The following is a 26,155-nucleotide window of genomic DNA, read 5'->3' on the forward strand; positions in this document are numbered from 1 at the left end:
TGGTTAGACATGAGTTTTATCTTGAGGTTAAAAAACTAAAGGATGTGCTTGTAAGATGGGTGTATGGTGAGAAAGTCAAGTCTGAGTCCAAGGAACAAGACCAAACAACTGCACAAATGTTGATGCTACTGACTTAAATGGGAGCAACAACAAAAAAAGACACTTCTGCAGGAAATTAAAAATTGGATGTGGGGCATATTCACTTTGAGATGCATTATGAGCAGATGTGAAAAAGGCAAGTTAATAAAAGAGCCTAGGCTTCAGGGTGACTGAATTCTGGTGATATTAGAACAATAATTAAGCCCTATTGAGAAAAGATTTCTAAATTATATTTCAATATCTAGAATTCATACATTTGAATCAGAACAAAAGCAAAATAATACAGTTAGCAATGACGACTAAAGTAGATAGTACTATGTATGATGATTTAGTTTGGGATATGGCTGAGCACAAATGGGAAAAATAACAACTTTCTTTTATTTAGCTTATGTTAAGAGATCAAGAAAGTTAAAACTTTTCAAACCACAAGTTTTTAAAAAATATTTAAAAGGTAAATCACTTTGAAAAATTGAAACATCACTAGTATAAGAAAATATATAACAAGGACAGAATTTGCATTAATAACATCGGGTTCATTTCCCTACTTATTCACATACTTTTGGCAAGTGACATAGTAATTGATATTTTATTCTTTTGGCTGTTTTTGTTGTTGTTGTTAGAAGTCACACACAGTTATTATTATGTGCAAAGCTACTTAATCCTAATCACCATTTTACAGACAAAGGTCTTGGGGCATAAAAAGGTAAATGAGTTTTCCAGAATCACACAATAGGTTACTAATAAAGCCAGGATTTAAACTGGCTCCACTTCATGCCCTATTCTCTATATGGTAATTGTACTGTGTTTTATGTATTTTTTATATAAATTCATTATTTTTTTAAAAAAAACCTACATTGTTTTATACTGAATTATGTTTTTCCCCATTAGACCAGGAATTATTTCAACCATGTTTTATTCACTCATGTAATCCTAGTCTTGGACCAGCATCCAGAGAAGAGTAAGTGAAGAATAGTTAAAATAACTTTTATATTCCATAAAGACATTATAAGAATTGAGTGATGCAAATATAATGAGTGATTGAATTTTGAAATTTATGGAAAATTATAATCTCAGTAATAAGAAAGTGAAAAAGTTTTCAACTTGGGAAACAATGAATACAACAAAACTGTAACTTTATATTTTTAAAATCTAGTTTCTACTTTTATGCTGATAAACCAAAATATAACTAAGTGTAAGTTAAGGGAGTTTTATAAATCTCTGTTTATACTAAACATTTTACTTTTCCAAGTACCTTTGATAATATATCATATGCATAGCATTAATGGACATCATAGTATCTTCAATTTGATATGGTTTCAAGAGTTAGAAAACTTCTAGACTTTGCTTTAAAAATGACAGGAATAGTATATGTTATTTTTCCTAATGGATTTCCCCTTCTCTTTTCATTCTTACTCAGAATATTAAAAAATGCTTTCTTAAGTGTAGTTTTGAAAATCACCTTAGTCACACATATTTTCTTTTCTTAGTCACACATATTTTATTTTCTTTTTAATTTTATCAAGAATTAAAAGTTTTAACCTCTGTCCATTCAATTCCTTGCCCCTGTGTTATCCTGCTGACAAAAAAAAAGAAAAATACTTCTTTCTAAGGTGGTCAAAGACACTTTAAATATTTAATGTGGGCATTTTCCTTGTAGGAGTATGGGTTAAGCCTTATTTCTAGAGAGTATGAATAGTTTCTCATCTATTTCTTATAATAGTTTTCTGATTCTCCATTGATGGGTGAAACATAATCTATTTAATCATTTTATAATAATCACATTTGAGATTGGCCAAAAGTTTTATCTCAAATTACTTAGACAAAATTTTTATCTCAAATTATATCTATATCTATATTCTTACCTGTATCTATGCATGAAACTACAACTGTATTTATATCATTGATATCCACATTTTTACATCTTTTGGTGCCTATGCTATTTCTGCAGAACAGTTTCCTATAAGTGAGAATACTAGGTAAGTAGCCACATTTATTTTAATATGTAAATGTTATCAAAATTGTTATGAGAAATTATTTTATCACCAAAAGCATTTGAGATTTCTTCTTTCTCCATGGACTCAATACATGCTGTATTATTATTATCATTACTATTATTATTTTACAATAGTCTTATATATGAAAAATGGTATTTCATGAATTAGTATCTATTTATTTATTCAGAAGCCTGTGTCTATTTGAACTTATTCTATCTTTTGTAAGTTCTGTGTCCATATTATTGACTCATTTTTATATAGTTTATTTTTAATAGTTAATGTTAGGAAATAATATATATAAAGGAAATATGAATCTTTGGTTATATGTGTCACATTTTCTTCTAGACTTTTAGATTTTTATATATTGAAGAGTTCATTCATTTTATATAATCTAAATTTTTAATTAAATTTGTTTTAGAAGTTTGGTGCAAAACAAGGAGACATGAAATAAAATAAGCAATAGAATTATTTTAAAGGAGGAAATACACTGTTATACTATTTGAGGAATTAGAAAACTTTAAAGAGCACTTAGGCTTAACATCCATTTTACTTTAATGGATTCTGTAATAAAACATAGCAAGGTATGAATTTTAGTCAAGCAATTTACGAGGCATAAGACTTTGGGTAAGTTATTTTACCTCTGAGCTTTTGTTTCTTCATCTTCATCCTGGTGATGATTGTAGCCCCAGTCTCAAAAGATTCCTGTAAGAGCAAATAAAATAGTAAATATCCAAAATGCTAAAGATATTTATTCAATAAAGATAAAAATTAAGAGTTTAAATATTTTGCTTAATAGCTATGAACAGGTAGAAAATGCAGTAAGTCTTCACTTAATGTCACTGATAGGTTTTTGGAAACTGTAACTTTAAGAGAAAAAACATATCATGGAACCAATGTTACCACTGGGTAGTTGATATAAACAATAGTTTAATATCTACAGCATAGTTCTGGTCAGAAAAATGTTACCATACTTTTTACAAACACCACAAATACTTCTAACATTAAACATTGAAATAAATGTGAACTATACACACATTTAAGAAAGATGAATAAAAACAAGTGAGATAATTATTTACCAAATTATGCCAGTTTAGGATCATATCTCCCAGCAGCTCAGGGCACAAGGTGAAAACCAGCCCTAGACAGGATGCCATTCCATTGCAGGGTGCACTCACACACACACATCCATGTTCACTCTCGCTGGGACCATTTAGACACACAAATTTACTTCATGTGCACATCTTTAGGATGTGGAAAGAAATAGGAATACCTTGAGTAAACACACATAGACATGGGGAAAATGTGCAAACTCCACACAAACAGTGGCACCAGCAAGGAATCAATTTTTTTTGTCAAATGTATGCAATCTTGAACAAAATGATTTTTTTTGTCAGCAACTAAAAACAGAACTCTGTATGATCCAGCAATTCTGCTACTAGCTAAATATCCAAAAGAAAGGAAATCTATATATTGAAGAGATATTTACACCCCCATGTTTATTGCAGCACTATTCACAATAGCCAAGTTGTGGACTCAACCTAAGTGTGTATCAATGGATTAATAAAGAAAATGTGGTATATCTATAAACAATGGGATATTATCCAGCCATAAAAAAGAATAAAATTCTGTCATTTGCAAAACATGGATGAAACAAGAAGACATTTTGTTAAGTGAAATAAGCCAGGCACAAGAGAACAAACATCACATGTTCTCACTCATATGTGGAATATGTGGAAGCTTATGAATAGAAGGGTGGTTACTAGAGGGTGGGTAGGGTATTGGGAAAAGGCAGATGAACAGGGTTGGTTAATGGGTATAAACATACAGTTAAATAGGAGGAATAAATTCTAGTGTTTGATAGCACAATAGAGTGACTAGCTGACAATAATTTATTGCACATTTCAAAGTACTTAGATAAAAAGATTTGAACTATTCCCAACACAAATAAATTATTCATCTTGGAGGTAATGGATATTCTAATTACCCAGATTTGATCATTACACATTTTATGCTTGTATCAAAACATCACATGTATCCCATAAATATGTGTAACTATTATGTATACATAAACTGTGTAAAAAGACTGTTAATTGGGGACCTGTTGCACAATAAAATAAAAACATTTATGTTAACAAATAACATACATACATAAAGTTATCCATAAGTGTAGTCAGTATGAAAGGTCTATCATTTGTTAGGTGGTAAAATATGAATAAATGAACATATACTAAAAATAAACATATACCATGCTCCTTATTAGAAAGATTGATATTACTTAAAAAAAATTTAACAACTTCAACTAAATTCAAACCAAAATATCAATTAAAATAAAAAATGCTTAGAAATTTAAGAAATATTTTTATATTTCTTGTGAGAGAACAACTAGAAAAGGAAACCCCAAAATAAAATATTGCAGTTGGGGGAAATAAGAAGGTATATAGATTGGGTGAGTTTGTCTATACCTAATAACCATTCAAAAATAAAAAAGGAGAAAGTTATTGTTCATTTGCCCCCAATACGTCCTAGAAAATAGAAGGAAAAATACAGCATATATTAGAAAAACAATCATAATTAGAGTACACTGACATTTTTAGAAATTTTTTTAAAAAGAAACTATGGATGAATGTGACAGAAGAAATAATATATTGTCACAGGCCAAATATGTTAGGGAGAAAGGTAAATGTCAGCAAGAATCTTCAAGATCAGGACAAGTAACGTTACCTTTAAAATGAGAGAACCTATATTGTCATGAATTTTAAATAACATACTTCTAATTCATGTCATAACATTTAATTATGTATAATTTACATAGGTAATTAGCTCTTACTTCTTTTGCCACTATCCCTAGTCTGGCTAGTCAATTTTCCTTTCTTCTGAATTATTTGGGAACATTAGTCAAATTAGTTGCATTTTATTTCCATTTAGTTTCACTGCATGTAAATCCGTATTCACAACAGAGGAGTGAGCAATAGTCAGGGGAGAAAAGCAACTGAGAGAAACAAAGATGTTCTGGATGGAGCAATTTAAAAGACTCTGCCTTCAATCTTCATTTAGCTTAATTGGGAGACTTACCAGAGAATCAAAGCCACCTGTTTGGTATAGCAGTCCCTCAAATTATAATATGTAATGCTCAAAAAATAAGACTGTTGTATTGATGTCAAATGTTTTTCTTAGATGTAACAGAATTTTTTTTACCTACTTCTGAATTATGTAAAATTATGTCTCACATTTTCTTTATAAATATTTATTTTACAACAGAATGTTTTATTTTGCTATTAAGACTTGCAGAGTAGTTCAAAACACACGACACCATTTATATATATGTTATATTTATGGTTCAAAAAAACCTAAGTCAGATCAGTAATATCTCACGGGCTGCCACAGCTTGAATTTTCTTCTAAGAAAACTGGTCTGCTGCCAATTTAAGTTGTTCAGTTAAAAAACGTCAGCAAGAAAACAAAAAGAAGTTTAAGACATTTTGCTATAAATATAGTACCCACTGTGAAAATTACTCACTCTGTCATTTGGTTTTAATTTGTTAAAAGATGTCTTCATTTTAAAAAAATTAACAACAATGAAATTAACAAATACAGATAATAACCATGCACTTATTGAGATGAACTGTATTAGTCTTAGGTTGATTACAACCAAAATGAACTGGGGCTAGACAGCATCATAATTTCTTACTAGCCTAGCTCTCTATGAGTCTCAGAGAAAAATATAAATAAGTAGTTGACATTTTAAAATTAGGCACATATTTTGCTTCTCAGTTTATACAATAATATATAATTATTCCAAAAAGCTTTTTATTTTGATCATTCCAACATGGCATTTCTGAAAAACTGTAAGAGTCTCTAATGTTGTAATACTTTCTATGAAAAAGAGATGCAAAAAGCCTGAAAAATAGAGAGTTATAATACCTGTTAGCATTTTATAGGCTTAGATAAATTCTGCAATACAAAAAAGACTGATTTATTTCATTTATTATTGGCTAAATGTCTTGGGAAGAGGCATAAGCCGTGTGCTACAGATTTAACATTCCTTGGGACAAATAGTATGACTTGCAATTATATTCCCAGAACCTCATTAGCTTATATAAGTCTCTCAGCGATTGCGTGTACTTTTCAAGACACTCAATATCCTATTTGTCCCGTTATAGTTTCTTATACAGGCTTAAAAATAACAATGGTGATTTAAAAAATGATTCACAAAATAGAAGAAAAATGATATCCTAAGATCAATAGCAGTAGTACAGATTAATAAGCCCATTGCTAAATTTTAGCCAGAGTCCTATTTATTGTTCTAAATTCAGTTGAAAATCTAGATACATACAACATTTCAGATAATGTGTAACATTTCACAAGAGTCATAATTCTGACTTATGGTTCATGCAATGTTGTTTTGAACTCAGTAAAATTATCAAAATTTTACAATTGTTGAAAAATACCACATTTCTAAATTCTTGTTATCTTTAAAAACATATCATTGTGCTGAAAACATGATCTTTTTTGATGATCTCTTCTAAGACACTTTTGCACATGCAATTAGTTACATAAATAAATATTAATCAAAAGTATAACTAATTTTTTCTAAACGATTTATCATTTCATTTGTACCGATTTGGAGAAATAATTTTTCTGCTTATTCCCATGGCAGAGTGGTGTCTGACACCAAGCAGGCATTTAATAAATATTTGATAAGTAAATCCATGTTCTTGATTAATTAGGCAATTTATTCCTACAAGTGCCCGTTTATAGATTGCCAAGGAATGAATGGATCCTACTACTTGATTCAGTTTCCTCCCATCTGTGATTATCTAAATTAAGATCTAGGTTAATGTCAGATAAACTTCTCTCTCCAGGTAGTCTCACCAAAAAAATTAAAACTCCCTCTACTATGTATTGATCGGCATTGTTGTTTTTCGTAAATAGTGAGGCAATGTCAACAGGATATTCCTCATGATTCCAAATTTTCCAAAGACATAAAAAAGTAAACGAGGAAAGGGTATGAGAGCTTTTTATTTAGCTTAACAACAACAACAACAACAGAAACTTCTTTACTTACTATTATATATTTGAAGAAAGAAGGATCAATAGTTAGGGTACAAAATATGAATGAATCTATTTTTCTTTCTTAGTGTGGGTAGAAAACAAGAAATAAATTACAATTTATCCAAGGAGTTAAAAAGTTTTGTTTCAAAACAAATATTGCTTCTTTTTCAAGCTAGGAGTGGGACTTTAAAAACAAATAGTTTATACATAGATCTAGCAAGAACTTTGCTAAACCAATATAAAAGTAAGTTTAACTTAAACAGACAGCAGCAAATGTACTAATTTCTCATTTGAAGTGTCATTTGCAATATTTAAAGGAACTTCACATGTGATGGAAAAAGCAAAACACTACCATTCAGCAAGAGGGCCATGTAACTCCTGGTTGCAAAAATGGCATTCATATTATCATTATCCTTATTATTATTACAGAAAAATGGCCCTTATCCACTTCCGAGGAATTCTAACATGGATGCTCTCCAGCTTGTAAGAATTGTGCTATACATTTTTTTAAAAATGAGTAAATAAATGGATGAGGAAATAGCTCTGTTGTTTTATTACCTTGGAATCAGGGACTATAAAGAGACCTGAATTATACCACGTAAAATTATTGGAGAATAAAATGGCACAATGTGCAGTAATTTACAATCCATTTAGTATGTGTCAAGTCATAAATCTGTTCTTCAAATAGATTTCTCACTATTGGAATGAGTGTTTAATTTTAATACTTATGATTTTCCCCTGTGCTTGTCCTGTAGGAGTTGTTTTAATAAAATTTCACTGCGCTCAAAGGTATTTTTGACCTGGTCAAACCATAGCATTTTATGTATGTGGAAAAACATCACAACTTGTCAATATATTCAAACTGAGATTTTCAAAACCTGGTGTCTAAAAGGTGTACATAAATTGCACATTTGAGTTCCCTCGTTGACACTTAGCTAAGCAAAAACCCTTTTTTGTGCTTAAATGCCTACGGATGTGAAATAATCGTGTATTTAGGTGCCAAATTCAGTATCTGAGTTGATATAGTGGGCCTGTCTTCAGGAGAAGATTAAATATTCCTGTAATAGTCTTCAATATTTGCAAGGTTACTTAAAGAATGGAAACAAGTCACCATTAAACTAAAGTATTTATTTTGTTATTCTAGAAAGCTAGCTAGAATACAGTATAGTTTGATGTCTTTTACATGGTGCTGTAACACATATTTTTAACATGATGTATCTGCTCAGAGTATGTTAAGTTTCACATGGTTTTTTAGACTGTTAATATTTTTCTTCACCAAGGATATTCCAGAAATAATTGAAGCATTTTAAAGCGATGTGCTGAACAGAATCCACATAATTATGTATTTATGGTAGGTAGAGAAGAACAACACAAACTGTGAAATGTTCTACCTGCACTGCAAATAATATTCACTCTAGGTGGATAGTGGATAAATTGAGCAAAAAAGTATTTCTGTCTGACACTGTGAAAAGCTCCACAGGGACATTTTAAAGAGGGAAAAGCAAGTGAAAGTATGATTTGCTCCAGGGAAGGATTTAGTTGCCTGCAAAAGAGGTAGTACCTGAAGTATATATTTTTTTAACTTATTTTGACTAGATAGAATGAATATTTTCATTGAGCATAGCATTATGAGATCCGTTGCATAGAAATTTCCCAATTCTGTATCCAACAATTTGAAACCTATAAGGAAAATTTTGAGACGACAAAGTAGAGTCTAAAAAAAGCACCTCAGTTTTAAAAAGTGGAAAGAAGTTTACAGAAAAGAAGGGTAATTATGTGTGCGTGTCTGTGTGTGTGTGTATAACTGTGTAAACAGACTGACATGAATCCCCATTTGCTAAGCCACTCCTCTGTGTGTGCATGTGCATGTCTGTGTGTGTTCTAATGATCTTTTTCCAGGGTGAAATGAACATTTTATTCTTGATTTATTCTTTAATATATAAGAAGTTTGTCATGAGAAGACAAGTATCATTATTTGTACGTTAATGTCCAATATATAAATTATTAAACAATACATTGATCTCTTAATCACATGCTATTCAAACAACTAATAAAATTCGTGAATGTGACAATTGGATTTCACCAAATCTGAAAAATGTTGATTTAGTTAATCAAAAAAATACCTCTGAATGTTTGATTGTAATTTATATTCTGTAATATTAGACATTTTACTGTTTTGAAAACCTTAATTAACAACACTGTTACACAATGATTATAATCAATATATTTACATGAAAACCGGTTACAAAATTGTTAATGCCAAGCATTAAAAAATGTTTTTATTATCTCCTTTTAAATTTTTATTCCTACTTATATAATTACATTTCAAATTCTTACTTTATTTTTTACTACATTTTATTTTTGCTCTTAAACTTTTATTTCTGGTTTATTTGAGATAGTTATAACTAAGATTACCTAATTTATGAAATTGGAAAGATGATTGAAAATTTGTGGCCAGAGCCAGAGAACAGGTAAAGCTTTACCATTTCTTCTACCCAAGTCAATTATCCCAAAAGTAATATATTTTCCTGGTAGTTAGACATCATCCATTACATGTAAAAATGTGATATTATTTATTAAAGTTTTAAAAACTATATTTAATGCATTTCTCTTTAACAAGTTTTTGATCAACAAAAAGTTACAAAGATAATATAGAGCGTTCAAATATATCTCACATCCAATATCCCCTAATATCAACATCGCATATTTTGTAGTACTTTCTCACAACTAATGAACTAATATTGACAGATTATTAGTAACTAAATTCCAGACTTTGTATTTCATTTGTTTTACCTAATGTCCTTTTTCTCTTTCAACATCCTATCCAAGATACTGTATTTCATTTAGTTATAATGTTTCTTAAATGACCTGATATTTTTCTCGGATTTTCATTGTTTTTCATGAAGAGCTACTCAGATATGTTGTAATATGCGTATCAACTAGGGTTCCTCTGGTTTTTTTAAAAATCTTTGTGCCGGGCACAGTGGCTCATGTCTGTAATCCCAGCATTTTGGGAAGGCAAGGCGGGTGGATCACCTGAGGTCAGGAGTTCAAGATCAGCCTGGCCAACATGGTGAAACCCCGTCTCTACTAAACAAACAAAAATTAGCCAGGCGTGGCGGTGGGCACCTGTAATCCCAGCTACTCAGTAGGCTGAGACAGGAAAATCGCTTGAACCCGGGAGGCAGAGGTTGCAGTGAGCAGAGATCAGGCCACTGCACTCCAGCCTTGGCGACAGAGGAAGACTTCATCTCAAAAAAAAAAAAAAACTTTTTAGAATTTTTAATTTTTTTATAATTTTAACTTTTATTTTAGATTGTGGTGGGGAGAGGGTACATGTGCAGGTTTGTCACATGGGTATAGTGCATTATGCTGAGGTTTGAAATGTGCATGATCCTGTCACCCAGGTAGTGAGAATAGTACCCAATAGGTATTTTTTCAGTGCTTTACCCTCTTTTCCCCTCAAGGCAGTCCCCAGCATCTATTGTTCCTATCTTTATGTCCATGTGTACCCAATGTTTAGTTCCCACTTATATGTAAGAGCATCCTGTGTTTGATTTTCTTCTCCTGCATTAAGTTGCTTAGGATAATGACCTCTAATTGCATCCATGTTGCTGCAAAAGACATGATTTTTTTTTTCTTGGCTGTATAGTATGGTATATATGTACCACTTTATTTTTTAAATCCAATCCACCATTTATGGGCCCCTAGGTTTATTCCATGTCTTTGCCAGTGGGAATACTGCTATGGTAAACATATGGGTACATGTGTCTTTTTCGGCAGTATTATTTATTTTTCTTTGGGTAGATACCCTGTAATAGGATTACTGGGTCAAATGATAGTTCTGTTTTAAGTTACTTGAGAAATTTCCAAACTGCTTTCTACAGTGGCTGAACTAATTTACATTCCCACCAACAGCATATAAGTGTTCCTTATTTTGCTGATTTTGATGGGATTTCATTGAATTGTAAGATCACTTTAGAGTATGAACTTTTTAACAAGCTATTAATTCTTCTAATCCATTAATACAAGATCTCTTTCTTCCCTCTTAAAACTACTTTGGCTGTATCCCATAAGTTTGGGTATGTTATGTTTCCATTTTTATTTGTTTTAAGATTTAAAAATAATTTCCTTTAATTTCTTATTTTAACACAATAATAGTTCTGAAGCATATGGTTTATTTTCCATATATTTATTACTATTTCTTTATTTCTCTTGTTACTGATTTCTAGTTTCATATAATCATGGGCAGAGAGACACATGATATAATTTCAATTTTCTTTAATTTTGTAACACTTTTATTTGTGACCTAATATATGAGTTATCCTGGAGATAGTTCTGTGTGCAGTTGAGAATAATGCACATCCTGCTGCTGTTGGATTGTATGTTCTGTATATGCCTGTCAAATCTATTTGGTCTACAGTGTAGTTCAAATCCAGTGTATTCTTATTCATTTTATTTGAATGATCTGTCTCCTGTTGAATGAATTCTACTATTTCTGTGTTGTAGTCTATGTCTTTCTTCAGATCTATTAATGTTTTCTTTAGATATTTAGGTGCTTTAATGTTGGGGCTATACATATTTCCAGTTGTTATATTCTTTCAATAAATTGACCCCTTTATCACAATATGATGACCTCATTTATCTCTTTTTACAGTTTTTGCCCTAAAGTCTATTTTGTGTGAGCTACTCCTACTTTCTTTGGTTTCCATTAGCATGGAATATATTTTTATCCCTTTACTTTTCAGTATAAAGGTCCTTTCATGTGAGGTAAGTCTCTTGTAGGCAGCATATTGTTGGATCTTTTTTTCCTTTAATTCATTCAGCCTGTCTATGCCTTTTGATTGAATAATTAAATTTATTTGCATTCAAAGTAATTGTTGATAAGTTAGGACTTACTAGTATCCTTTTGTTAATTCTTTGCAGGTTGTTTTACTTATCTGTTTTTTCTTACTCACTTGCTTTGCTCCTTTGTGGTTTGAAGACATTCTCTGGTAAAATGCTTTCAATATTTTATTTTTGTCTTTTGTGTATGAATTATAAGCTTTTGCTTTGTGATTATTCTGAGGCTTACATATAATATCTTATACTTATAAAAGGCTATTTTAAGTTAATGACAACTCAATTTTGATACATACACAAACTTTACATACTATGGTTTTAACACACCCTCTAAAAATTGTGTTGAAACTTAAACCACAATGCAACAGTGTTGAAAGGTGGGAACTTTTTAGCAATGACTAGATCATGAGGGCTCTGCCTTCATGAATAGATTAATTTCATCATCAAAAGAGTGGGTTAGTTATCCCAAAAGTTGCCTTTGGATAAACATGTTGAGTTTAGCTCAATTTTCTCTCTCTCCATCTTGTGTGCTTTCTTCTGGTCTTTCACTTTCCATAATAGGATGACCCTCACGAGATGTTGGTGTCATAATTTTGAATTTCTTAGCTTCAAAACTGTGAAAAATAAGTTTCTTTTCTTTATCAATTATCCATTCTCAAGCAGTCTGTTACAGCAGCACAAAATAGAGTAAGAGAGAACATTTGTATCAAGAAGTGGAGTTGTTGCTATAACAAGTATTTAAAAATGAGAAAGTGGCTTTGAAACTAGGCAATCTGTGGAGAGTAGAAGAATTTGGGGGAGTGGACTAGAAAAAGCCTTTATTCTCTGAATTGAGTGTTAAATTTTATTTTTGTGGGGGCTCAGAAAAAGGGAAAAGCTGTATGGAAAATATAGAACATCTTAAAGATCACTTAAGTGGTTGTAATCAGAATATTGATAGAAATATGAACAGTAAAGGACATTCTGATGAGGTCTTTTTTTTTTTTTTTTTTTTTTTTTTTTTGAGACGGGGTCTCTCTCTGTCGCCCAGGCCGGACTTCGGACTGCAGTGGCGCAATCTCGGCTCACTGCAAGCTCCGCTTCCCGGGTTCACGCCATTCTCCTGCCTCAGCCTCCCGAGTAGCTGGGACTACAGGCGCCCGCCACCGCGCCCGAGGTATTGGAAACTTGAGGAAATGCCATCCCTGTTATAAAGTAATAAAGACCTTGGCTGAATTGTGTTCCTCCTCAAGGGCTTTATGGAATGCATAACTTAAGAGCAATGAACTAGGCTATCTGGTGGGAAAAAATATATCTAAGCAGCAAAGCATTCAGGCTGCTAGGTGGTGACACTTTATTATATATGCTGAGATGTGAAAGAGAAAAAAAAAGACAAAAGGAAATTTATAATTAAAAAAGAAGCAGAATGGAAAGATTTGAAAAGGTCACACGCTGGCTGCATCGAGTGAAAAGGCTTACTTAAGAGAGCAAACTAAGTGTGTGGACCAGTGACTGTTTGCTAAAAAGATAAACATGCATTGAAGAAATCCAAGTGCTATTCATCAAGTCAATGGGAGAAAAACCTCAAAGGCATTTCAGAAAACTTCAAGCCTTCCCCTCCCATAACACGACTAGAGCTCTAGAAAGGCAGCATTGTTTCAGGGGATGGTGATGGACCTGGTACCCTTTGTGGACTTGCTGTCCATTGCTGCCTCACAATTCTATTCCCCACATTCCAGCATAGCACTCCTGGCTACCTTAGCCATGGCTCAAGTGGACCCAGGTGCAACTTAAGCCACTACTCTAAAGGGCACAAGCAAGAGGCTTTTGTGGCATCCACAAGGTGTTGAGTCTGCATACTCACAGAATGCAAAAATTGTGGGGGCATATCTACCTTCACCTGGATTTCTAAGGATATCTCAGATAGCCTGGTGGCTGAGGCAGAAGCCTATGGCAGTGTTGGAGTTACCACAGAGATTCTGTTTTAGGACAACGGCTGGTAGAACCATAGGAGTGAGGCTGCCTCCACGATCTCAGAACGGCAGAGCCCAGTACGCATTTCCAACTGGTGAGAGCTGGAGGCATGAAACTCTAACCTGAGAGGTGCTGGGTAGACTGAGCCCAATAAAGCCAGAATGGCAGAAATTCCTAAGGACTTGGGTAACCAACCCACTCTCCAATGTGCCCAGGATACAGGACATGGAGTCAAAGGAGATTACTCTCCAACTTTAAGACTTAACGTTATTCACCGTGTTGGGTTTTGGACTTGCTCGGGACCACTTACTCCTTTCTTGCCCATATGCCCATTTTGAATTGAAAATGTATGTCTTAAGCCTATCCCACCATTGTATTTTGAAAGTAGATAACTTATTTTTATTTCACAGGCTCACATCTTGAGGGACTATGACTAAGAATGAATTATGCCATGATACTCACAATATATAACTCTGTACTTTGGACTTTTGAGTTGATGCTGAGCAAGTTAACAATGTTTAATCTATTAAGATGAAATTAATATATTTTGTATGTAAGAAATACATGACTTTTGGAAAGCCAGGGCTGAATGCTGTTGTTTAAATGCCCCCCACCACAGCAAACTTATGTTAGCCTGAGCCACATAATGAGACCCTGTCTCTATATATTTTTCTTTGATTAGCCAAAGTACAGTGGTACACATCTGTAGCCCCAGCTACTCAGGATTCTGAGGTGGGAGAATTGCTTGAGCCCAGGAGGTCAAGGCTGCAGTGAGCTGTGATTGCACCACTACACTCCAGCCTGGGTGACAAAGTGAGGCCATATGTCTAAAAGAAAAAAAAAAATTACAAATTTTGCATTATTGGCTTGTCAGCAGGAGAAGAGAGAAAGAATCATAGAGCATATTCAAATGAATAATGGCAGATATATTCCCAAGTTTGGGGAAGAAAATAGAAATCCAGATACAGGAAGCCTGAAAGACACCAAATAAGATGAATTTGCAGAGACACAGATCAAGACACATAATCAAATTGTCAAGAGCTAGACAAAGAATGAGTATTGAAAGTGCAATAAGGGAAGTTGAGGGTGCAGCAAGGGAAAAGCAAATAGTCACATACAAGGGAATCTGCAAAACTATTAGCATATTTCTCAGCAGGAATCTTGAAGGTCAGAAGGAAGTGAGATAATATATTCAAAACCCTGATAAACAAGCTGATTGAAAATACTATACACAGCAATCTTATATTTATAAAATAAGGTGCTATAAAAAATGTATCAGGAAAATAAAAACTGTATGAGTTTATCATCACTAGAACTATCTTGAAAGAAATAATAATGGGAATACTTCAAGCTGAAATAAAGACATTAATTAGTAACAGGGAAACATGAAAGTGTAAAACTCACTGGAAAAAGTAAGTACGTTATAAGATTTAAAACACTCTAATGGTACCAATTTTATCTTTAGTATTAAAGTTAATAGACAAAACTATTACAAACAGCTAAAACTATAACATTTGTTAAGCAATTAAATTATAAAAAGATATTAAGGTGTGGTATCAAAAATTAAACATGTAAGGAGGGGGAATAAAAGTGTAGTGTCTCAGTTCATTTTCTGCTGCTATCACAGAGTATCTAAGATTAGGTAATATATAAATATAAAACATTATTTCCCAAAGAGTGCAGTGGCACATTCATATTTTACTGCAGTCTCTAACTCTGGGTCTCAAGTGATCCTCCTGCCTCAGTCTCCTGAGTACCTAGGACTATGGGTATGCACCACCATGCCTAGCTAAATTTTTTTGATAGATGGTGTCTCTCTAAGTTGCCCAGGGTGGTTGCAAACTCCTGACCTCAAGCAATGCTCCCAACCCAGCCTCCCAAAGTGCTGGGATTATAGGCAGGAGCCACTATGACCACCTTGTTTTTGCTTTCTAAAATAAAATGATATTTATTTAGGAATAGGACATTGTGATAGCAATATGTGTGCCATAGTAAAAGATGTATTAAGGAAGGTAAAGGAAGACAAGGGTTTTTAAAGAGAAATGAAGATGATTGCAATTGTTTTGAGAAAATTATCTTCGGCTACAAAGATCAATAATAAGGGTGATGTCAGTCCAACTTAGGATAGGCAGTTGCTAGGCAGATGTTCTTGCAGAAGTATTTTTTTTGTGTAAAGATGAGCTTTTTGCAAGGTTATGCTTTTATTGTGATAGTTTGTGTGTTTGCAATTTTTTAAACTAAACAATAATTTGTTTTATGTGTACATAATGTGTAGTGATCAGATCAGGGTGTGTAGGGTGTCCATCATCCAACTACATACATATCTGTTAAATATAGTCTCCTTACCCTCCTACCGAATATTGGATTTTATTTTTTTACCTTTCTGTATATTTGTACCCATTAAGGAAGGTCTCTTCATCCCCCATGCACTCATCCTTTCCATTTTCTGTCATCTATCTTTCCACTCTCTACCTCCAAGTGATCAACTTTTCTAGCTTCCACATATAATTGAGAACATGTGACATTTGTCTCTTTGTAGCTGATTTATTCACTTAGATATTGACCTCCAGTTTCATCCATGTTACTGCAAAAGATGAAATTTCATTATTTTCTATGATGATAGTATTCCATTATGTATACCATATTCCCTCATCCATTCATCTGTTGATGAACACCTAGGTCAATTCCATATTTTTGCTATTGTGAATATTGTTGCGATAAACATGCAAGTGTAGATCTCCCTTTGATATATTGATTCATTTTCCTGTGGGTAGATACACAGTAGTAGTATTGTTGGTTTGAAGGGAAACTCCATTTTTGTTTTTTGGAAAAATCCCCATATTGTTTGTTATAGTGCCTATAATAGTTTACATTCCCACTAAGAATGTATAAGAATTCATTTTTCCTGGCATTCTCACCAACATCTGTTATTTTTTGTCTTTTTAATAAGAGCCATTCTGACGAATGTGAGGTGATATCTCATTGTGCTTTTGATTTGCATTTTATTGATGATGTGCATTTTTTCATAGTTTGTCCAATACTTGTACATCCTCTTTTGAAAAATGTATGTTCATGTCTTTGCTCACTTTTTAATACAGTTATTTGGTTCTTTTGACCATTGACTTGTTGAATTTCTTACATATTCTACACAGGAATCCTCTGTCACATAAACATTTTGTTAATACTTTCCCCAATTCAACAAGTTGTCTCTTCACTCTGCTGATTGTTTCATTTGCTGTGCAGAAGCTTTTTAGCTTAATATAGTCCCATTTGTCTATTTTCATTTTGGTTGCCTGTGCTTTTGAGATCTTAGTCATAAATCCTTTATCTAGCCCAATGTCCAGTAGAGTTTTCCCTAGATTTTTTTTCTAGGATATTTAGAATTTTAGATCTGATGTTTCAGTTGTTAATCCAGTTTTAGTTGATATTTTTCTTATGTTGAGAGATAGAAGTCAAATCTTATTATTTTGCATATAGCTATCCATTTTTTCCAGCACCATTTATTGAACAGGATGTACTCTCCCCAATGTAAGTTCTTGTTCACTTTATGAAGGATCAGTTGGCTGTAAATAGATGACTTTATTTCTGTGATAACTGTCCCATTTCATTGGTCAAATTGCCTGTTTTTATGCCAATACTATGCTGTTTTTGTTGCTGTAGCCTTGTGATATTCTTTCAAGTCAGCTAATGTAATGCTTCCAGCTTTGTTTTTTTTTTTACTTTTTTATTATTATTATTATACTTTAAGTTTTAGGGTACATGTGCACAATGTGCAGGTTAGTTACATATTTATACACGTGCCATGCTGGTGTGCTGCACCCATTAACTCATCATTTAGCATTAGGTGTATTTCCTAATGCTATCCCTCCCCCCTCCCCCCACCCCACAACAGTCCCCAGAGTGTGATGTTCCCCTTCCTGTGTCCATGTGTTCTCATTGTTCAATTCCCACCTATGAGTGAGAACATGCAGTGTTTGGTTTTTTGTCCTTGCGATAGTTTACTGAGAATGATGATTTCCAATTTCATCCATGTCCCTACAAAGGACACAAACTCATCCCTTTTTATGGCTGCATAGTATTCCATGGTGTATATGTGCCACATTTTCTTAATCCAGTCTATCATTGTTGGACATTTGGGTTGGTTCCAAGTCTTTGCTATTGTGAATAGTGCTGCAATAAACATACGTGTGCATGTATCTTTATAGCAGCATGATTTATAGTCCTTTGGGTATATACCCAGTAATGGGATGTCTGGGTCAAATGGTATTTCCAGTTCTAGATCCCTGAGGAATTGCCACAATGACTTCCACAATGGTTGAACTAGTTTACAGTCCCACCAACAGTGTAAAAGTGTTCCTATTTCTCCACATCCCCTCCAGCACCTGTTGTTTCCTGACTTTTTAATGATCGCCATTCTAACTGGTGTGAGATGGTATCTCATTGTGGTTTTGATTTGCATTTCTCTGATGGCCAGTGATGATGAGCATTTTTTCATGTGTCTTTTGGCTGCATAAATGTGCATATAAACAGAACCAAAGACAAAAACCACATGATTATCTCAACAGATGCAGAAAAGGCCTTTGACAAAATTCAACAACCCTTCATGCTAAAAACTCTCAATAAATTAGATATTGATGGGACGTATCTCAAAATAATAAGAGCTATCTATGACAAACCCACAGCCAACATCATACTGAATGGGCAAAAACTGGAAGCATTTCCTTTGAAAACTGGCACAAGACAGGGATGCCCTCTCTCACCACTCCTATTCAACATAATGTTGGAAGTTCTGGCCAGGGCAATTAGGCAGGAGAAGGAAGTAAAGGGTATTCAATTAGGAAAAGAGGAAGTCAAATTGTCCCTGTTTGCAGATGACATGATTGTATATCTAGAAAACCCCATTGTCTCAGCCCAAAATCTCCTTAAGCTGATAAGCAACTTCAGCAAAGTCTCAGGATACAAAATCAATGTACAAAAATCACAAGCATTCTTATACACCAACAACAGACAAACAGAGAGCCAAATCATGAGTGAACTCCCATTCACAGTTGCTTCAAAGAGAATAAAATACCTAGGAATCCAATTTACAAGGGAGGTGAAGGACCTCTTTAAGGAGAACTACAAACCACTGCTCAATGAAATAAAAGAGGATACAAAGAAGTGGAAGAACATTCCATGCTCATGGGTAGGAAGAATCAATATCGTGAAAATGGCCATACTACCCAAGGTAATTTATAGATTCAATGCCATCCCCATCAAACTACCAATTACTTTCTTCACAGAATTGGAAAAAACTACTTTAAAGTTCATATGGAACCAAAAAAGAGCCCACATTGCCAAGTCAGTCCTAAGCCAAAAGAACAAAGCTGGAGGCATCACACTACCTGACTTCAAACTATACTACAAGGCTACAGTAACCAAAACAGCATGGTACTGGTACCAAAACAGAGATATAGATCAATGCAACAGAATAGAGCCCTCAGAAATAATGCCGCATATCTACAACTATCTGATCTTTGGCAAACCTGAGAAAAACAAGCAATGGGGAAAGGATTCCCTATTTATTAAATGGTGCTGGGAAAACTGGCTAGCCATATGTAGAAAGCTGAAACTGGATCCCTTCCTTACACCTTATACAAAAATTAATTCAAGATGGATTAAAGACTTAAATGTTAGACCTAAAACCATAAAAACACTAGAAGAAAACCTAGGCATTACTATTCAGGACATAGGCATGGGCAAGGACTTCATGTCTAAAACACCAAAAGCAATGGCAACAAAAGCCAAAATTGACAAATGGGATCTCATTAAACTAAAGAGCTTCTGCACAGCAAAAGAAACTACCATCAGAGTGAACAGGCAACCTACAAAATGGGAGAAAATTTTTGCAACCTACTCATCTGACAAAGGGCTAATATCCAGAATCTACAATGAACTCAAACAAATTTACAAGAAAAAAACAAACAACCCCATCAAAAAGTGGGCAAAGGATATGAACAGCTTTGTTATTTTTTCTTTCAAAATTGATTTGGCTATTGAAGCAATTTTTGGTTCCATATGAATTTTAGAATTTTTTTCTCTAATTTTATGATGAGTAATATTGGTATTTTAATCTGGATTGCATTTAATTGGTAGATTGCTTTGGGCAGTATGACCATTTTAAGGATATTAATTCCCCCGATCCATAGCATGAAATGTTTTATTATATCATTTATTATATATTAAATATATCGTGTTTTTGTGTCTTCAATTCATTTCATCAGTATTTTGTTGTTTCTCTTGTAGAAATTTTTCACCTCCTTGATTAAGTTTATTCATAGTTTTGGGTTGTTGGTGTTGTTGCTGTTGCTATTGTAAATGAGATCACCTTCTTGATTTTTTTCCCACTAGATCATTATAGATATAAAGAAATGCTACTGATTTTTGTACACTGATTTTATATCTTGAAACTTTACTGAATTCATTTACCAAATCTAAGTATTTATTGGCAGAGTCTCTAGGTATTTTTAGATATAAGATCCTATTATCAGCAAAGAAGGATAATTTAACTTCATCATCTTTTTCAATTTGGATGCCTTTTATTTCTTTCTCTTTCTTGATTTGCTTGGCTAGGACTTCCAGTACTGTTGAATGGGAGCGCTGAAAGTGAGCATCCCTGTGTTGTTCCAGGTCTTAGAGAAAAGGCTTTTAAGTTTTCCCCAATCAGTATGATGTTCACTGTGGGTTTGTTGGATATGGCCTTTATTGTTTTGAGGTATGTTATTTCTACTTCCAGTCTGTTGAGAGCTATTATTATGAAGGGATGTTAAATTTATCAAATACTCTTCCCTCGTTTGTTGTGATGATCATATGGTTTTTGTCTTTCATTCCATTGATGTGATGATTTATATATATTGAACCCACTTTACGTCCTGGGTACAAATCCTACTTGATCATGGTGCATTATCTTTTGATGTGCTGTTACATCTGATTTGCTAGTATTTGTTGAGAATTTTTATATCTGTGTTCATCAGGAATATGGGCCTGTGGTTTTCTTTTTTTGCTCTGCTCTTGTCTTGTTTTGATATGAGGATAATGCTGGTCTCTCAAATGAGATAGAATTTCCTCTTCTTAAATTTTTTTGAAATAGTTTGAGGAGGATTGGTATTAATTCTTTATAATTTTAGTACAAATTAGCAGTAAATATATCCAGTCTTGGGCTTTTCTTTGTTGGGTTACTTTTTATTACTAATTCTGTCTTACTACTCATTGTTGGTCTGTTCAGGATTTCTATTTCTTTCCTGAATCAATCTTGGTGGGTTGTATTGTTTCTGGTAATTTATCTATTTTCTCTAGGTTTTTCAATTTGTCAATGTACAGTTGTTCATAATACTCTCTGATGATCATTCATATTTCTTTGGTAGTAGTTGTAATATCTTCTTTTTCATTTCTGATTTTTATTTATTTTGCTGTTCTCTCTTTCTTGGTTCCTCTAGCCAATAGTTTATCAATTATGTTTATCTTTTAAAAGAACCTAGAGTTTGTTTGTTAGTTCTTTTCATTACTTTATTAGTCTGGATTTAATTTAGTTATGCTCTAATTTTTATTATTTTTTTTCTTCTGCTTATTTGGGGTTTGATTTTTTTTCTTGCCCTTCTAGTTTCTTGAGGTGCACTGTTAGGTTGTTAATTTGTATTTTTTCTACTTTTTAGTGGAGACATTTATTGCTACAAACTCTCCTCTTAGCACTGTTTTTGCTGTATTCCACAGGTTTTAGTATGTTGTATTTCGATTGTTATTTTCTTTTTTTTTTTTAGTTTTATCTTCATTTCATCATTGACTCAATAGTCAATCAGGTGTATGTTGTTTAACTTTGATGTGTTGTTATAGTTTATAAATTTCTTCTTGGTATTGGTATTGACTTATATCTTTTTTTTTCCTTTGTGATCTAAGAGGATACTTAATATAATTTCCATTTTTAAATATTTATTGAGACTTGTTTTGTGGACTAACATATGGTCTATACTGGAGAATGTTCCATGGGCAGAAAAAAATAATATACATTTTGCAGTTGTTGGATACATTGCTCTGTAAATGGCTGTTAGTTTCATTTGGCTTAAAATTTAGTTTAAATCCAATGTTTCTTGGTAAATTTTCTGCCTAGATGATTTGTCTAATTCCGAGAGTGGGAAATTAAAGTCTCCCACTATTATTGTATTGCAGTCCATTGCTCTCTTTACATCTATTAAGATTTGCTTTATGGATGTGATTTATTATTTATTTCTGCTTTATGAATAATTTGCTCTGTGAATATTTAGATTTGTTACACACTCTGGCTGATTAATCTTTTTATTATTATATAAAAACCTGCTTTGTCTTTTTTTACTGTTCTTGACTTAAAGTACATTTTATCTAATGTAAGTATAGCTACTCCTGCTCAATTTTGGTTTACATGTGTGTGGAATGTCTTTTTTCATTCCTTAACTTTCAGTCTGTATGCATCTTTACTAGGAAGATGAATTTCTGGTAAACAGCATAGCTTTGGATCATGGTTTTTATTTTTTTTTATTCATTCAGCCAACCTATATTTTTTAAGTGGAAAATTTAGTCTGTTTACTTTCAAGGTTATTATTGACATATGAAGGTTTTTTTCATGTTGCATTGCTAACTGTGTTCTGGTTTTTTGATATGTATTCTTTGTATCTTTGTTTTTCTCCTTGTTAAATTTCTCATTCATATCCTGTACTGTTTTTCTGATTTTTTATATCATTTTTCATAATTCTCTTATATTTCACTGAACTTCTTTAAAATCAGTATTTTGTATTATTATGACATTTCAAAAATTTCTTTTCAATTAGGATCTAGACATAGTTTGGCTATTTATTCTCTAAGCAGCAAAGCATTCAAGAAGTAACCTGGTTGCTTTTAACATCTTATGCTGAAATGCAAGAGCAAAAGAATGACTTAAAATTGGAACTTATATTTAAAAGGGAAGCAGAGTATAAAAATTAGAAAAATTTGCAGCCTGGTCATGGGTAGAGAAAGAAAAAGCTTTCTCAGTAGAGGAATTCAAGAAGGCTGTGAAGAAACCACTTGCTAGACATATTTGTGTAACTAAAAGGGAGTCAACTGGTAATATTCAAGACAGTGGGAAAAGGGCCTGAAATGCATTTTGGAGACCTTCACAGCAACCCTTGCCATTACAGTCCAAGAGGTCTAGAAGGAAAGAATGGCTTTGGGGGCCAAGCCCAGGGCCCCACTGCCCTGCACAGCCTCAGGATACTACTCCTTGCATCCTAGCCACTGCAGTTCCAGCCTCTGTTCAGAGGGTTCCAGATAAAGCTTGGGCTACTGCTTCAGAAGTTTCGAGCTATAAGCCTTGGTGGCTTCCACATGGTGTTAAGCCTGCAGACACACAGAATGCAAAAGTGAAGGAGTCTGAGGAACGTTTCCCTAGATTTCAGAGGATGTATGGAAAAGCCAGGTGTCCAGGCAGATCCCTGCTGCAGGGGTGGAGCCCTCTCAGAGAACTTCTACTAGGGCAGTGTGGAGTGGAAATGTAGGGCTGGGGGCCTCACGCAGAGTCCCCCCCACTGGGGCACTGCCTAGTGGAGCTGTGAGAAGGGGGCCAGTGTCTTCCAGACTCAAGAATGCTATATCCTAGCAGCTTGCACACTGCATCTGGAAAAGTCAAAAGCATTCAACTCCAGCCCCTCAGAGAAGCCTCAGGGGCTAAACCCTGAAAAGCCACAGGAGTTTGCACCAGTGTGCCTGGGATGTGGGACATGGTGTAAAAGGATATTATTTTGGAGTTTTACAATTTAATAACTACCCTACTGGTTTCACAACTGCATGGGGCCCATAGTCCCTTTCTTTTGGCCAATTTCTCCCTCTTGAAATAGAAATATTCACCCAGTGTCTGTACCCCCATTACATCTTAGAAGTAACCAGTTTATTTGTGATTTTACAGACTCATAGGCATAAATAAATTTCCTTGTCTCTCTCAGGTAAAACCTTGGACTTTTGAGTTAATGCTGAATTGAGTTAAGACTTATAGGGGAATGTTGGGAAGGCAAGATTGTATTTTGCAATGTGAAAAGGACATAAGATTAGGGAGGGGTCAAGAGTAGAATGACATGGTTTGAATATTTATCCTACCCAAATCTTATGTTGAATTGTAATTCCCAACACTAGAGGTGGGGCTTGGTGAAAGATGTTTGGATCTTGGGGGTGGATCCCTCATGGTTTGGTGCTTTCTTTGTGATAGTGGATTCTCACAATATCTGGTCATTTTAAAGCATGTAGCACCTCCCCTTTCCTATTCTCCCTCTCTTACTCCTGCTTTTTCTATGTGATGCCCCCTTCCGCCTTTCCCTTCTTCTGTGATTGTACACTTCCTGATGCCTCCCTAGAAGCCAACCAGATGCCAGCACCATGCTTCCTGTAAAGCCTGCAGAACTACAAATCAATTACATCTTTTTTCTTTGTAAATTACCGCATCTCAGGTATTTCCTTATAGTGATGCAAGAATGACTTAATACACATCTGTTGTTGAAAGATTATTGTGTTCCTTTGGAAGTACACTATTTTCTTGCTTGTTAATGCTCTCTGTGTCTTTATGTTGACATCTGTGCATATGGTGTAAGAGTTGCTTCTTCTTATTTTTCAATTTATTTTAATCAGGGAGGACTTTTTCTTCCTGAAGGAAATGTATCCATGAAGATGTATCCATGGAAGTTTTTGGGTAGGGTACTTTGGCTTTGATTCTCTGCGTATGCAGTACTATGGTCTCTGTATTATTTCTTTGGCTGTAAACAGTGTAAGTGGTATAAGTGATTTCCTTGGTAGGTTACAGGGCAGTTATTAGTGGAGGTTGTGGTAAGGTTGTGCTGGGGACTGGGAAGCCAGGTGGCTCAGTTTTCAGGCCCCAGTAGTGGCAGCAAAGGGCTAATTGTGCCTACCTTTGTGCCTCAAGGCAGTGTACACTGGTACCTCTGTTGGGAGTTACCAGTGGGCCGATCTTTGGTCTTGCAGGGGAGTTACTTGGGTGCTGGTAGTGGCAACAGAGCACTAGGTGGATAAGCAGATTCTTGCATCCCTGGGTAGCTGGTGTGGCATGTGCAATTGCAATAGCAGTGGCAGAACAATTCTTAGGGGCCCAAGCATTTTGTGTTGTCGACAGTGGTTGCAATGGGCTAGTCAGGTCAGCCTCCAGGCCCACAGGTGGTGCTTGGCGATTGATGCCAGCTGAGGTGGTAGTGGCTAGGAGTTTATGCCTACCCTCAAGAGGAGTGCTCAGGTGCTGGAGCCCCCAGGAGGAGTGCTGAGGCACTGAAGGTGGTGGATTGGTTTGGACAATGAGGGGATGAAGCTGGGCTGGGCAGCTTGTGCTCAGTCATCCCAGTGGTGAGAGCAGGTATCTACCATGGTGGGTGGGGTCGGGGGGGACAATCCTCAGGCTGCAGGCAGAATGCTCAGGTGAGGAGCAGTAGAAGCTGTTCTGGAGCTCTGCCACAAAAGAGTTGGCGGCTATCTTCAGTAGCCAAAGCCTGGGCCAGTGGGTGGGAACTGTTCATTCCTCCCATGCCCCAGTCCTGTCAGGGCTTCCCTCTAGCCCTTTAGTGGTGGCCAACACTTAACTTGTAACCACACCCTGGCTATAGGAGCTCCATCAGCTAGAGGCCAAGTCTCAGTGGCAACTTGCACTCTACTTGCATCCCAGTCTCCATCCCAGTGGCACTTATATCCTGGTACCAGCTATTGAAGCCCAGCCCTTCTTGCTTTTTTGCCCCAGCTGTGGGGGCACTCCCAGCTGACAGCATAAGTTTCCCTGAGACCTCAGACCTGATGCCACTGGGCCCCAAGACAGTGTGTATTCTGCCAGAAGCTAAGTTTAAAACTGGTGCCTTGCAGTAACTGCTTTGTTCTCAGAAATGTTGTGGGACTAAGTGCAAGCTCTTTCTCTGGAGCAATTTCATCCCATGGTGTCTTAGCATCTCCCAAAGTTAATTTCAGAATTTAGGAGAGCCACAGGGTTTTCTTGTGGCCAGAGCTGCACAATTCCACAGTGGGGATGTCAGCCACTTGAAGTCTTTCACTTATCTTTTCACCATATTGGAAAGTCACTCCTAGCTCCCAGCCCATCCCACCCAGGTATCTTTCCCTACTTTTGGTGTTTCCTGTCACTTTTCTGTTGTTCTCTCTTGGATAATGTATTTGAAATGTGACCGTCTATAC

At 34.7% G+C, this 26,155-nt stretch overlaps 1 long non-coding RNA gene across 1 annotated transcript in view; it reads right to left on the minus strand.

Annotated features, from left to right (window-relative positions):
* Window positions 1–690: 690 nt before the first annotated feature.
* LOC107985969 (uncharacterized) overlaps window positions 691–26,155 on the minus strand; it is a 119,054-nt gene continuing 93,589 nt past the window's right edge. Inside the window, exon 3 of the long non-coding RNA XR_001739832.2 lies at window positions 691–2,795. This is a non-coding gene — a long non-coding RNA (uncharacterized LOC107985969). The remainder of the gene's footprint in view (window positions 2,796–26,155) is intronic.

The sequence above is a fragment of the Homo sapiens genome, chromosome 2 (genome assembly GCF_000001405.40).
Source record: "Homo sapiens chromosome 2, GRCh38.p14 Primary Assembly".
Taxonomy (NCBI): domain Eukaryota; kingdom Metazoa; phylum Chordata; class Mammalia; order Primates; family Hominidae; genus Homo; species Homo sapiens.